This window comes from Homo sapiens, chromosome 14 (assembly GCF_000001405.40).
Source record: "Homo sapiens chromosome 14, GRCh38.p14 Primary Assembly".
NCBI lineage: Eukaryota > Metazoa > Chordata > Mammalia > Primates > Hominidae > Homo > Homo sapiens.
Window position 1 is genome coordinate 92,320,352 of NC_000014.9, and position 14,167 is coordinate 92,334,518.

Genomic DNA, 14,167 nt, shown 5'->3' on the forward strand with positions numbered 1-14,167 from the left:
TGACTGTCATCATAGCATCCCTTGGCCCAGTGCTCCTCAAAGTGTGGCCCCTGGACCAGCAGCCATCAGCTTCACTTGGGAACTTGTTGGAAATGTACATTCTCAGGCCCTACTCTGAATCTGAATTTACTGAAGCAGAAACTCTGTGGGGTTGGGGAGGGGGCGGTCCAGCAACCTGAGTTTTAACAAACTCCAGGGGATTCCGAAGCATGTTGAAGTTTGAGAACCGCTGCCTATCCAGGGCTGATGGATAGTCATCTTCAAGGCAAAGTGGAAGTTACAAGTCATGGAGAAGGTCATTCTAGCAAAGAAAACTTTTTAAAATGAAGTAAGATACAAATTAAATGGTGAGGCCCATCATGTCACAGGAAGGGATTGTTAAGGAAAAATACCATGGTACCCACCTCCCCTGGGCTGAGACTGCTGAACAAAATGGCCTAAACTCTGGCCATGTAGACAGTTCCCTGCAGTGTCATATCAGAAGACACAATTGCAGAGGAGATATTCCGAATCCAAAGGCACTGAAGCCAGGACCAGGATAAACCCGGCAACGCATTTTCGCTTTGTCCCACGGCCTTTGCTGGTTTACAAAATGCTCCTGAATGCCTTGAATCCCAAAGGTACAGAAAACCCAATTCTCTCTTCTGCAGAATGAGTCATTAGAGCTGGAGCTGAGGCTATTTGGTAATGGGCACTATTTAAATAAAGTGAAAAGTACAATTTCAAATGAATTGCTTTTTAAACTGTCAAATAAAAGGAATCCATTTGTGCATGAGAAATTATTCCAAGGGTTCTAACTATTAACTGAAAGCAGGTGAAAAATGTCAAAGAAAACGTCCTACTAAAGAGCTGACTAAATGTCTAAAGACAGACACCTAATGACTCCTTTGACCTGTTTTGGATTCAAAAACATGTATTTTCACCAGCCCCAGGTGAGCTCCGTGGACAAAAGTTTTAAGAAAATATTAAATGCTAGTAGCAAGATGCCATTTTGTCCATCGGCATCGCCTTAACCAATGTGACCCTGACACTGTTTTAGGGACAGGACAACAGCATATTATCACTTTAACTTTTTCCTTTGGCTTAAATTTGATGCCAAGGGCCCTTGGCTAGCTCTCTAAGTGTCATATTTAACAATGTTTTATAGTCTTCTATTTGAATGCATCCTTGTACAGTCTAGTCAATGTTTGCAGAAGAAAATTCTGCAAACGTATGAAAAGTGTCTTTTCTGTCACAGGCAGGCATGCTTGGTTGAGGTCACCAGTACGGAGAGTGAGCCTCAGTGTTAAGGCATCTCTGCAGACAAAAACAGAACCCTGGCCTTTTCCATTTCATTTCCTCTAGGGGTTTCCACTGCAATTAGTTTTGTGTTCATGCCTTCACTCTCTTTGTTGGTATTGAAACAGAGCTGCTGAAAATAATCAGTGAGGTTTCTCCCTTCCTGGCCCTCTGGCACCTCTAACCTGTGTCACTATTCCAGGCTAACACAAGCAAAATGACCCCTGCTTACTCAGTCCAGAGGGAACCGTGTGGGTGGTGACTGGCTAGAGGCATTGGAGCGGGCTTGAAAAGGGAGCACTTCTCACACGTGAAGGTGCACACAAATTTCCAAGGGATCTCGTTAAAAATGTACATTCTGACTCAGTAGGTCTGGGGTGGAATCTTAAGAGTCTGTGTGTCGCATAAGCTCTTAGGCAATTCTCATGCTGCTGAGGACCACACGGTAGTGTAGTGAGCTGTGAGGGAACAACGCACATTCTGCACAACAGTGACTTTCAGGACCCTCCTTAATGGGGCATTTATCTAAGGGCCTTGCTCCCTTTTGATTTAGAGTTCCTTGAAAGCAGAGACTGGGTCTCATACATTTGTTATTGTTTTGTTCTCCGGTTGGCACAGGGCCTGCACACGGTGGGTATGTATTTATTTAATTAAAGAGTTGGCCTGTTCCAAGAAGGATTTTAACCCCTAGCGGCACTGAACAGGTGGCGATGAATTGGCCGGGAAGGAAGTCGGTCCTAGGGGTAGTCACAGACCCCCTGGGCTGGGGTCCCCTCCACCTGCCTGCACCTGTATCACCCCTCAGCTGCTGTTCTGAAATTTTCCCTCCTGCCCCATTTTTAAAGCGGTTTACACCAGAGAGCCGACCAGAAAGGAGAGATACAAAACCAAACCAGCAAGCCCTGGGAAGCGGTAGGCTTAGGAACATGGAAAGCTCAACCGTCGGTTGTGGGGCCCGCAGATCTCTCTGGTTCCCCTCTCTGCCCCGTCTCCAGCTTTTTTGCAGGTCGGTGTCGCGGCCTCGCAGATCCCCAACAGCCCCGAGAGCCCTGAAGGAGCTGGTCCCAGCGGGTCCAAGCTCGTGTTGGCTTGGTGCAAGCCTGTTTGTTAGCTCTGCACGACCAATTAATTTTCTCCTGCATCTTCCCCCCGTGGTGGGTGGCGGGGTGGGGAGGGGGTGTGTGGCGGGGCCTCGGGTCGGCTCGGGGGTCGGAGAGCCCGGACAGGAGCGACTACACTGCAGAAACCCTTTTTCTAAGAGTCCCCAGCGGTGCCATAACCTGTTTCTCTCTGCAGCAGCCTCAGAGGGTAAAGGAAGGGCTCGTTGCAGCTCCATATGGAAGAAAGGAGAGAAAAAGGGAGAAGGAAGGGGATTATATTGGTCAGTAGAGGTCCAACTACTGAAGAGAAGAGTGCACGGGGGAGTGCGCCCTACGGGACGAGTACACGTGCTGGGAAGGGCGGGGGGTGAGAGGCGGGCAGGAGGGGAGGAGTAGGGAGGCGAGAGCAGCGGGCGGGAGGCGCCACGGCCTCTCAGACGCTGGCGCCCGCAGCCGAGAAGCCAGAGAGAAAGTTCCCGGGGAGAGCTCGCCCCTGGGAGGGCCGACGTCGAGCCTGCTCGCCGCGAGGGTCTCAGGTACCGCGCGTCCAGCCAGCCTTCCCGCGGCGCGCACTCGGCCGCCCGGGCTCGGCTCGTCGGGAAGCAGGGGAACATCGCCGGCTGGCAGCCGGGGCGGCCGCCGCCAAACTTGGAGGAGGAGGATGCTGCGAGTGGGCGCGGCGGCGCGGGGCGCGGGGGCGCACTGAGTGCTCCCTACGGCGCTGCTGCCAGGGCTGTGGCCGGGCGAGCCGGCCGAAGCGGAGCGGGCAGGTAGCGGCTCTAGCGCCGGGACTGCGCCAGCCCTGCGAGCCCGGGCCGCCAGCGCCACCGTGCCGGCGTCGCCTCCTCGCCACGGAGCCATGGTGCGCGCAGCGCGCACGCGGCGCGCGGGACTCTGAGCTCCGGCCGCGTCGCGCGTCCCCACCTTCCCAAGGGGCTCCCCCGCCGACCTCGCCCTCGGGCCATGAGGCTTTGGCCCGGAGCTCCTCGCCTCTGAGTCGCGCACCGCCTGCTCCAGCCCCAGCGCCGCTCGGCCACTGATTGCACTCTGGCCGCTGAAGCTCCCCATCCTCTCCCAGAGACGGCACCCAGGCGCTCCGGGATGGCGCTCCGCGGGACCCTCCGGCCGCTCAAAGTTCGCAGGAGGCGAGAGATGCTGCCGCAGCAAGTCGGCTTCGTGTGCGCGGTGCTGGCCCTGGTGTGCTGTGCGTCCGGCCTCTTCGGCAGCTTGGGTGGGTGCTGGTACGGGTCCCCTCTTCCTGGGGAGTTGGGGGCTTTGGCTGGGGAGTCTCGGGGCGGCTGCGAGATGTTTTCCCCTCCTTCCTCATCAGGTTGGTCCCAAGGGTTCATCCAGTCCCCTCCCCGCCGGGCAGGTAGAGCGCGCCCAGAAGAGCTGATGGACGCTCTGGGCTGTGGCGCCGGTTCCCCTGAGCTACGAGCGGCCCCTGGGGGGGCTCAGGACGCGGCTGCAGGTGTGTGTTACTAAGACGAAAGCAAGAACCGCTTCCGTCCCGGGAGTGCGCCCGGAATGGGCAGCGCAACTGCGGGGTGCAGGCAGGATTCTCTTGGTCTGGGGTGGGCGAAACTGAGTGGCCCGCTTTCCTATTCTGCAGAGCCGCAGGAACCGCCACTGCGTCTCGCCCCTGCCCTGGTTCAAAGGGGTCCCCTGGGTGCCCTGAGGTGTTTGTTCTTCCCAAACCCTAAAGGCGTTGGGGCAGTCTGCCGCGGGGGGTAGCTGCCATGTTTCAGCATCGCGTCTCTCAACTCCCCTTAACTCCCACGGAGGGAGAAGGCGGGTGTGTGGAGCCTCGACCCATGCCCCCTCCTCCAAGAAGAGGGATTTGGGAGTAGCTTAGGCTATGCAAATTTCAGGTGGAGCGGGAAGAGAGAAGGAACTAACCAAAGAAGTGTGTTTAGGGGGATGTGACCCCATGTGTAACCTTCAGGAGGCATTCACTTCCCTAACTCAGGAGACATTCACTTCCCTAATCGTCTCATTTTGAGTTGGATGCTGTGAACCTTTTAATTTCATTATTTTTTTAAATGTAAAAAGACAAAAGAAATGCTGGTGATTTAAACACCAAGACATGGAAGGTAAAGCGGGTAGTACCTTCTTGAGCAGTTAGAAAGGCCGTCAACATCCAGAGACCATTTAGAGAGGTGTACACTGATAGGTAAAAATCCAGTGGAACTTGATTAAAGTTTTCAAAATAACTGCCTTTCGAAACCTAAACTTTGTGATTTGAGGATGCAGGGTTAAAAAGTGGCTCTTTGCAGTGAGACCCAGGAAGATTATTTTGAATATCTTAGTACCTGGTGCTTTGCAATTGGGCAAGTCAGTGTTTGGATTTTTTTCCCCCCTCAATTACACACCAGAAATAACAACATACCTAGAGGCTCTTAGACATCAGCATTATAGAAGAGGTATTATTACCCAGCTGAAGCAGTGCGCATCAGGAGAGGTAAATGAATACTCTGAAGGTCTTAAAGTGAGAATCATTTTTATTTGCTGGATCAGGAATTACCTTTAGGAGTTTAAGTGTGCTTGGTTGCGGGCCTCCGCAAATTCTCTCTTGCCCAGTATGGCCCCTGGACCAGCAGAATCAGCACCACCTGGGAGCTTGTTAGTGCAGAATCCCAGGTCCCACCCCAGACCTGCTGAGTCAGAATCTGAATTCTAACAAGATCCCCAGGTGATCTGTGTGCACATTCAAGTGTGAGGAGCACTGGGCCAGACCGCATCAGCCTTGCCCACCTGCTTGCTGACTTGCTATTCATTCGTGAAGTTCCTCCAGGGCAGGGGCCCTCTGAGAGTGTCCTTTACTGGAAGAACACTTAAAAGGTCACCTATCTAAACCGTTTGTTGCACCTATGAGGTGCTGAGACCACCTCAGTCTTGGCCAAGGTCAGGTCACATGCTGACCCATCTGGGACTGGAAACAGTGAACTAGATCCAGGAAACAGGCCATTGTATGTAAGCAGGTGATATTATACTTCCAATCATCCTATCAGTCCCTAAAGATGGCTCTGAATAGGCAAACAGGGCTGTTGCTGACATAGACACACAAATGTAAGGTCATTTTGGAAACGCAGCCATCACACTGACCTAATGGTATCTGTGACTTATTTTCCAATCCAGGGCACAAAACAGCTTCTGCTAGCAAACGTGTCCTGCCAGACACGTGGAGAAATAGAAAGTTGATGGCCCCAGTGAATGGGACACAGACAGCCAAGAACTGCACAGATCCTGGTAAGAAATCAATTCTTCTCCACTCAGTCTACTAAGATGTTTGGCCTGGCCTGGAGATGGCGCTTATGTGGGTGGTTACAGCCAGAGCTGAGAAAGGTGGTTTATGGACTTGAGTGGGAAAGGGTGGCCATGAGGTATTGAAAGGTAACATAAAGACATTCGTCAATGGTGCTGCTAAGCAACTCAAGTGCTTTCTTTATCCAGCAACTGAAAAGGTCACAGTCAAGAGTTTAAAAATGTTACTTTTTGTTCTCACAATGTTCCTGAAGGCTAAGTATTTTCCCTGCTCTCTTGATGTTTGCGGCTCGGGGTGTCTTTGTTTTCTTCCCTTTTGCTCACTGTATCCATTACTGGAGCTCTCACGGTGGCAGATCCAGCTGCTGTGGCAATGGTGCTTTGAGGTGGCCCACCAGGGTCTCAGCATGACCGGGCAGCTGCAGGGGTGGGACACTCTGGGGTGCTGCGGCTGTTTCTCTCAAATGGGAGTCGGCACGGTGTCATTCAGCCCTGGAGACTGATTCTGCTTGCCCCGTTTTGATGTTCTTCTTCAGATTTTTCTTGGGGGTTTGAGGCAGTAGAGACCCAGAGGTGACATCTTGTCTGTTCTCCTGCCACAGACAGGCTTTGCTTAAATGAGTGAAGAAGATTATCAGGAGAAGACAGCGTATTGGCAGAGAGCAGAACTCACAGCCACTGCCCAGATCGCAGGCTGAGCACTTCTATGCTTGAGCTCTGGCTGTAACCCTTAAGGTCTTTGTGAGGAGGATCTGGGGGGATGATACATTCACAAGCCCTTAGGGAACTGTGGGGTTTTAATATAGATGGCTTTGCCACTAAGTTCCTGGGCAGATCACATCATCTTTTTGGATCTCTGTTTTCTCACCTGTAAATGGGCAGAATAGTTGCCTGTTGTAGGGTTGTTGGGAGAAACTGGGAAGGCTGTGTTGGGGACTGGGTATAAAAGGAGACGGAGCTCCAGGACAAAGGAGCAGGGTTGGATGGCAGTCCCCACGTGTTAAATTGTCATACTCTGTGAGGCAAGTCTCTTCCCCATTTTACAGGTCAGGAAAGATCTGGGGAGAAGGCACAAGTTGCTCAAAGTCACAGAACTCGTAAGTGGTGACGCTGGTTTGAGAACCTAGGCCTGTGAAACTAAAACCTTTGGTTGGTTCCCTGTGCTTAGGTGGGGGTGACCTTCTGTCAAAGTTTTCATACTGTTTTTATGCTATCAGCTTCCCTGCCCTCAGATGCCTTCTGAGAAGTCCACCGGGAGGGACGTGGTGGTGGACAAGCTCAGGCTTGCAGAGAAGTGCTGGGATTCACTTGTCACCTGGGTGGTTCCTCCTGTCCTGGTGGCCCAGCAGGCGGGGTGCTCATCCTGTCATTCCCTCCCCCAGGGTGTCTCCTCTCATCAGCCAGGCTGGTGGACATGTGGGCCGACTGATATATGGCAAGGGTCATTGGCTCCACACGGAAAAACATGCGTGAGGCCAAGGATGGTTAATGCTGGGGGCCGTTCCCACCCATTCCAGGGACCAGAAATGCTGGAATTGGCACCATCCCCATGGGAACACTTTGCTACTCTGGATAAAGAATCAGGGTTCAGGAATGTTTGGGTGGTTTCAAGCTTGCTGGTGCCCTCATCTTGGGCTGGCCATGCCCTCCTCTGTGACTTCTGTCGTACATAGCCTGAGTATGTTGGCTTAGACGGGGATCCCTTTCTTATGATAGAGTTCTCCTTTGCCCCGCTGTGGGCTCTGTGTCTGTCTTCAGCTGTCTGATTAAAAATCATTCAATTAACATATAAAGCGTCTGTTCTATTCGACAGGAAGGCCTCACCTTGTCCCTTTTGTGGAAAGGGAAGTGGAGGGAACTTGATAATATCTTTAAAAATAGTTAACTTTTGCATTATGCTTTGTATTGACTGTTTCCAGAATACAGCCTGGCCCATAGAAAGGACTGCATAGATATGGGTCGAATGATGGAATGAAAGTGCATTTTGATGTATCTCACATTTTAATCCTTATCACGTTTTTGCCAAGACAAGATACACGAAGTTCAGAAGTTTAGTGGCTTCCTAAGATCTCTTGGGCAGCTGGAAACATACTGGGGTCACCTGGATCCAGGTGCCAGGCCTCTCCCTTGTACTGCACAGCCCCCGGCTCTCAGGCCAGGTGGGGTCTGTGGCCAGCCTTCCCTTCCAGCATCTTCCTCCCTGGCCTATGAGAATCTCTGCCCCCTTTTCATTTCACAAGTCTGTGTAGCAAGCACCTGCTCGTGTGTGTCCAGCTCTATTGTGGACAGGTAGTGGGGAGTATAAGATGCAAGCCGCTGTCATTGAGTAGCTTATACTAGAGTAGAGAGGACAAGATCTCAACACAGGGAAAGCTAGGTGACATTGAGGGACTCCAGCGGCTCCCCAGTGAGCAGCCCCGCAGGAGGCACTGCAGGTGCACAGAGGAGGATGCGCTGGCCCGGTGTCCTTCTGTGTAGCCTGGGGGACTAGATGAGGCAGGGCCATTTAGAGTTGCCATGACAGAACTGGGTTTAGCAGAAATAGAAATTTAGTGGCTCAGTAACTGGCAGTGTGAGATCAAAGGTTACGAGGTGTCCATGGCTCTGTTTCTCCATCTCTGGGCTCACTTATCTTCTAGCACGGGAAGGTGGTTACCACCGGCCCAACCTTATGTCCTCCCAGACTCAAATATGCTGAGGCTGAGCAGCTTCTGCAGAAGCCAGGAAGTTCTGTTGGGCTGGGTTGGCTTGGGCCGCATGACCACCCTTGCAGATTGATCTGGCCAAGGGAGTGCTGGGCCCAGGACTGGCTTAGACCTTGGTCATAGGTTCCACCTCCGGAGGGAGGGGACTGAAGCTGCCACGCCTACCACCAGAACTCTACCTGGGAATCGGCGAGGTTGGGCACCTGGAGAGCAAACACTCAATTCTTACACCTCTTCACCCTGGGCTCCCATCCTGGGGCTTTCTGTGATAAGGAAGGCTGGATTAGAGTTTCAAGTGAGAGTTTCAGGGGTGTGACAGACGCTGCCATCTGATGGCTGCCTCCCTTCTGCACAGTTGGTGGGGTTTCCTCATAAAGAATTGCAGGCTATCTTGCCTCCTCTTCAGGCTTCTGCTTTAAGCTTGCCCCCATGAATTAGAGGGTGCCTTGTCCAGCTCTGCTGGATGAGGCCTTTCAGGGACGTCAGAAGATGGAGCTTTAAGAGCTCCCTCCTGTGCTAAGGCACCACTTGGAGTGGGTGTCCCACAAACGTGAGCCCACATCTCCTTAAGAACCTCCGGTGTGTGTCTTTATTGCCTGTGCCTTCTCATGCTCATCTTTACCTGTGAGAGGAAGAACTTTATTTTCCAAAAACATGAATGGGACCCTGCTCTAGTCTTTCCTGAAGATTCTGCATGGAAAACGGGCTCTGCCTGGGTTGTAACCCCAGATCTTGGTGTTAGCGTTTTGATCTCATTATCTGAGTTTCAGCCTAAGTACCAGCCACCACCCCTCCCTTCCCTTCCCCCTTTATTACTCTGTGTTTTTTGTTTGTTTGTTTTTGTTTTGTTTTGTCACTCTGTCACCCAGACTGGAATGCAGTGGTGTGATTATGTCTCATGGCAGCCTCTACCACCCTGGCTCAAGTGATTATCCTGCTTCAGCCTCCCGAGTAGCTGGGACCACAGGCTATTTTTTTCTATTTGTTCTGTAGAGGCAGGGTTTTGCCATGTGGCCCAGGGTGGCCTCAAACTCCTAGGCTCAAGCAATCCTTCTGCCTCGGCCTCCCAAAGTGCCAGGATTACAGGCGTGGGCCACCGTGCCCTCCTCCCTATGTTGTTTTTATGTTTTTATGACATATGTCACTAACATTACTCACTTCATTGTTGGGTGTCTACCCTTGAGGGCTACCTCTTTTGTGGCCAGAAGAGCTGTTCTTAATCCTGGCTGCATATTAAGATCACCTCAAGAGCTTTATAGGAATCTTTTGAAATGCCCAGGCCCCACTCCCAGAGTGTCTGATTTCACTGGTTTGGGGTAGGGCCCAGGAGTCAATACTTTTTAAGAGCTCCCAGGCAATTTCAGAATGAAGTCAGAGGTGGTGCTCGCTGGGCTGGAGACCTAGTGCTCAGCCTGGGAGCATCACCTGGGAGCATGTCAGGAATGCAGAGTCTCAGGCCCCCCAATCAGAATTGGCATCCTGAAGAGATGCCTAGGTGGCTCTCTGGGCTAGAGCACTGCTGGACACTTGGTAGGTGTTCAATAAATATTTGAATGTTGAACAAAAGCAATGCAAACAAAAATTTGAATGTTAACACTTATTTAATAGAGCCATTTTCCTAAAAAACATGTTTTTAAATGTAGGAAAGCTTTAAAAAAATCTGCTTTATTTTTGCTCAATGATGTCTATGGAAAATTTATAATTAATTTTTCCCTAGAGATCTGAAGGCAAAACATGGGCCTCTAGGCCTTAGATGTTTATTTTCATGGCCTGTACAGAGCAAGCACTGAAAATGGGAAGCAGGTCTCTCCATGCCACATGTATGATGTAGGAATGAGTGGCAGTGACTCTGAGTCCCTAGAGAACTATCTGAGCTCAGGCTGCTTTAGCAAAATATCATAGACAGGATAGCTCAAACAGCAGACATTTCTTTCTCATGGTTGTGGAGGCTGGCAAATCCAAGATCAAGGTGACTGGTGAGGGCTCTCTACTTGGCTTGCAGATGGCCACCTTCTTGCTGTGTGCTCAGAGTGGCAGAGAGAGACAGCACACAGTCTCTCTTTCTCCTCTTATAAGGGGGCTCATTCCATCATGGGGGCCATACCCTCATGCACTTGTCTAACCTTAATTACCTCCCAAAAGCCCTGCCTCCAAATACCATCACATTGTGAGTTCAGGCTTCAAACTGTGAATTTGCAGGGGACTCAAACATTCAGTCTGTATAAGGAACCAGCGAGTTTCCACACATCTCCTGGGGTATTTGAAGACAGCTGAGAATGGAACCTGGTGCTTCTCAACCTTGGCCTGTAAATGAGAGACACCAGGGGGACTTGAAAAAGACAGATTCCTGGGCCCAGCCCTGACCTGTGAAACCAGAAGCAGTAACAGTTGCATTCTGTGACTGACTTTTGGAGTATCTGGGAACCATACTGTTTCTGTCCAGATCTTCCAGGATGGGCTCCTGCTTGTCATCGCCACCTTCACAGGCTTTCCCTGGTAACCCAGTTCAAAGTAGCCCTCTGAGTCCCTGGCTGTCATGGCATCTTGTTTTTAGCTCCTTGCAGGTGCTAATTCTTAATTTTATTTATTTATTTTTAAAAAATGAGACAGGGTCTCACTGTGTCACCCAGGCTGGAATGCAGTGGTATGATCTCAGCTTACTGCAGTCTCGACCTTCCAGGCTCAAGCCATCGCCCACCTCAGCCTCCTGAATAACTGGGACTATAGGCACATGCCACCATGCCTGGCTAATTTTTGTATTTTTAGTAGAGACAGGGTTTCACCATGTTACCCAGGCTGTTTTCAAACTCCTAAGCTCCAGCGCTCTGTCTGCCTTGGCCTCCCAAAGTGCTGGGATTACAGGCATGAGCCACCACACCTGGCCTGCAGGCACTAATTCTATCCATTACTGTATTATCTGCCTCCCCTAACTAGACTATAAAAGGTGAAAGCCTTGTTTGCATTTTAAAACCATAATACGTGCTTCACTTTTTCCATCTGTAAAATGAAGGTGATAATTACAGTTAACTCTTGAACAAACCTGCATGGGTCACTTCTATGTGGATTTTTTTCTGCCTCTGCCACTCCTGAAACAGAAAGACCAACCCCTTCTCTTTCTCCTCTCAATGTGAAGATCATGAGGATGAAGACCATTAGATGATCTGCTTCCACTTACTGAATAAATATATTTTCTCTTCCTTATGATTTTCTTAATAAAATTTTTCCTCTAGCTTACTCTATGTAAGAATACAGTGATACAGTGTATAATACATGTGACATATATAATATGTGTTAAACAGGCCAGGTGTGGTGGCTCACGCTTGTAATCCTAGCACTTTGAGAGGCTGAGGCAGGCAGATCACTTGAGGTCAGGAGTTCGAGAACAGCCTGGCCAACATGCTGAAACCCCCCTCTCTACTAAAAATACAAAAAAATTAGCCAGGCATCATGGGGCACACCTGTAATCCCAGCTACTCAGGAGGCTGAGGCAGGTGAATTACTTGAACCCAGGAAGTGGAGGTTGCAGTGAGCCGAGATCGCACCACTGCACTCCAGCCTGGGTGACAGAGTGAGACTCCATCTCAAAAAAACAAAAAACAAAAAACCAATATGTGTTAATCGACAGTTTATGTAATCAGTAAGGCTTCTGGTCAACAGTAGGGTATTGGTAGTGAAGTTATTGGGGAGTCAAAAGTTATATGCAGGCCAGGCACAGTGACTCATGCCTGTGATCCCAGCACTTTGGGAGGCTAAGGCAGGAGGATTGCTTCAGCCCAGAGCAACAGAGGGAGACCCTGTCTCTCAAATAATTAAAAAATTAGCTGGGCATTGTGGGGAGCACTTGAGATCCTGAGCAACAGAGTGAGATCCTGTCTAAAAGTTATACATATTAATAGATTTTCAGCTGAGTGGGGGATTGGTACCACTAATGCCTGATTTATTCAAGGGTCAAAGGTACCTCCACCTCAGAGGATTGTTGGAATGAAATGAATCTAAATACCCATCAGCACTTAAAACAGTGTTTGGCCTAGAATACATGCTCAGACACTAGCTTCTCTCTTTATTATCACTTTTTAATATGCTCAACCCAAAGATGATATAATGCCTGTGTGTGGTAAGTACAGAAAAACAATTTGTCAGTTGAATTTTCTGAGGGCAAGTTAACAAGTAAACATCTTGCCACACATTTATTCTTTTCTCTTCTGGAAACAAATTTGTTTAATTTAATTCATCTTTGAAGAATTTAGGATGCTGGAGGATGGCCTACCTTGTAGAACGTGCTTCTAAATAGAAGAACTTTCTTGTGTCTTGACCGGCATTATTTTACGTTTGCCTGCATAACTGGGATAGGCATGATTTCCCCCTCTCTAACACTGCCTTTATCCCCAACTTCTGGGTTTAAAAAATTTTTTTTGGACAGAGTCTCACCCCCTCACCCAGGTTAGAGTGCGCTGGTGCGATCTCGGCTCACTGCAACCTCTGCCTCCCAGGTTCAAGCGATTTTCCTGCCTCAGCCTCCCAAGTAGCTGGGATTACAGGCGCCCACCACCATACCTGGCTAATTTTTGTATTTTTAGTAGAGAGGGGGGTTTTGCCATGTTGGCCAGCCTGGTCTCGAACTCCTGGCCTCAAGCGATCCACCTGCCTCTGCCTCCCAAAGTGCTGGGATTACAGGCATGAGCCACTGTGCCCGGCCCCACTTCTGAGATTGAATGTTTTTTTTCATTCTCCACTATGTGACCCCTTTTGGTTTGGGTTTCCAATGTCCTGTGCCCCATGTTAAAAAAGAAGGACGGAGCGGGGCTTGATTTCCCCTTGTTGTTGTGGGAGGGATTTAAGTCCTCCTTTAGAATTTGCTTTATTGTGTGTGGTTTTCCTTCTTCCAAATACATCTTCTGAGATGCCTGAGCTGTGTGTCCACAGAAGAAAGGCTGGGAGAAGCGGGCTGATGCAGGCTGCTAAGGAGGGTCTGCAGAGAAAGGTGCTTCGTAGCATTTCAGGGGAGCAGAGGAGATGGATGCAAGCGCTAGATGGAGAATCTTCTGTGATCAGCTTGCTTCTGATCCACCCTTACTTTTTATTCTGTACCATGCCAGTGTAAGGGCGGTTGTGGGGTGCGGGGGGAGAGGGTGGTAGAGTCTGGTGGGGGTGGGACCCTGGGCACGGGAGCTGACACTGTGGCTGGGCTAGGAGGAGATGAGATCACCAAGCAGGTGCCCTCAGGGGTGGGCCTCTGTAGACTCCCCTGTGCGGGGAGCAGAGGTGGAGAAAGCACGAGAAATCAAGAGAAGGACAAGGGGCCTAGAGCTGCAAAAAGGACATCAGGACAAGTGGGTGAGGAGGTGCAATGGCACTGGTGGCAAGAAGTGTCTGGATTCTGAACAAACGTCTGTTGGAATGATGCCTCAGTGGACTTGGGAGACAAGTCACACATCCAAATTTTAAAGTCGTTATGTAAAAGCAAATTTTGAGTTAGAAAAGCAAGAATTGGATTTACTACTATGGGCAGGGAAATCACAGTTCTATTCCTTTCCCAGACAGCAGGGGCAGGATGTCCAGCCTGGAGAGGGCCTTTCCTGAGAAGGGCAGCCTCCGGAGGGCCAGGCAGCTTCTTGGGGAAACTGTCACCAACCATACTGGACAGCCATAGGCTGGCACAGCCACCAATGTGATTACAAACAAAGGCTGAGGAAGATGGCACCCGGCATCACTGTGCCCACTCATGCCTGTTTCAGGGGTGGAGTGGGATGGTTATAGTGGATCAGTGGATTGGGAGCTGAAGGTCTGCGTTCTAGTATCAGTTGTGCCCGGATCCTGCCT

The 14,167-nt window shown here is 50.3% G+C and overlaps 1 protein-coding gene across 7 annotated transcripts in view, besides 1 other annotated feature; it reads left to right on the forward strand.

Moving 5' to 3' along the window:
- Positions 2,230-14,167, forward strand: part of SLC24A4 (solute carrier family 24 member 4) — a 178,901-nt gene continuing 166,963 nt past the window's right edge. For 2 of the 7 annotated variants that reach the window (XM_011536436.3, XM_011536437.3), the window contains exons 1-3: positions 2,814-3,609; positions 3,709-3,849; positions 5,517-5,627. In XM_011536436.3, the coding sequence (XP_011534738.1) occupies positions 3,480-3,609; positions 3,709-3,849; positions 5,517-5,627 (382 nt within the window). In that variant the 5' untranslated portion in view covers positions 2,814-3,479. Of the gene's footprint in view, positions 2,285-2,813; positions 3,610-3,708; positions 3,850-5,516; positions 5,628-14,167 lie in introns of those variants that run through there. The other 5 variants (NM_001378620.1, NM_153647.4, NM_153646.4 and 2 more) reach the window with 3 other exon arrangements.
- Positions 3,348-3,927: an enhancer, noted in NCBI's record as "H3K4me1 hESC enhancer chr14:92790043-92790622 (GRCh37/hg19 assembly coordinates)". NCBI's record gives its function as "activates a minimal SCP1, AML or CMV promoter by ChIP-STARR-seq in naive H9 embryonic stem cells {active_cell/tissue: H9 hESC(naive)}" and the evidence as "EXISTENCE:reporter gene assay evidence [ECO:0000049][PMID:30033119]".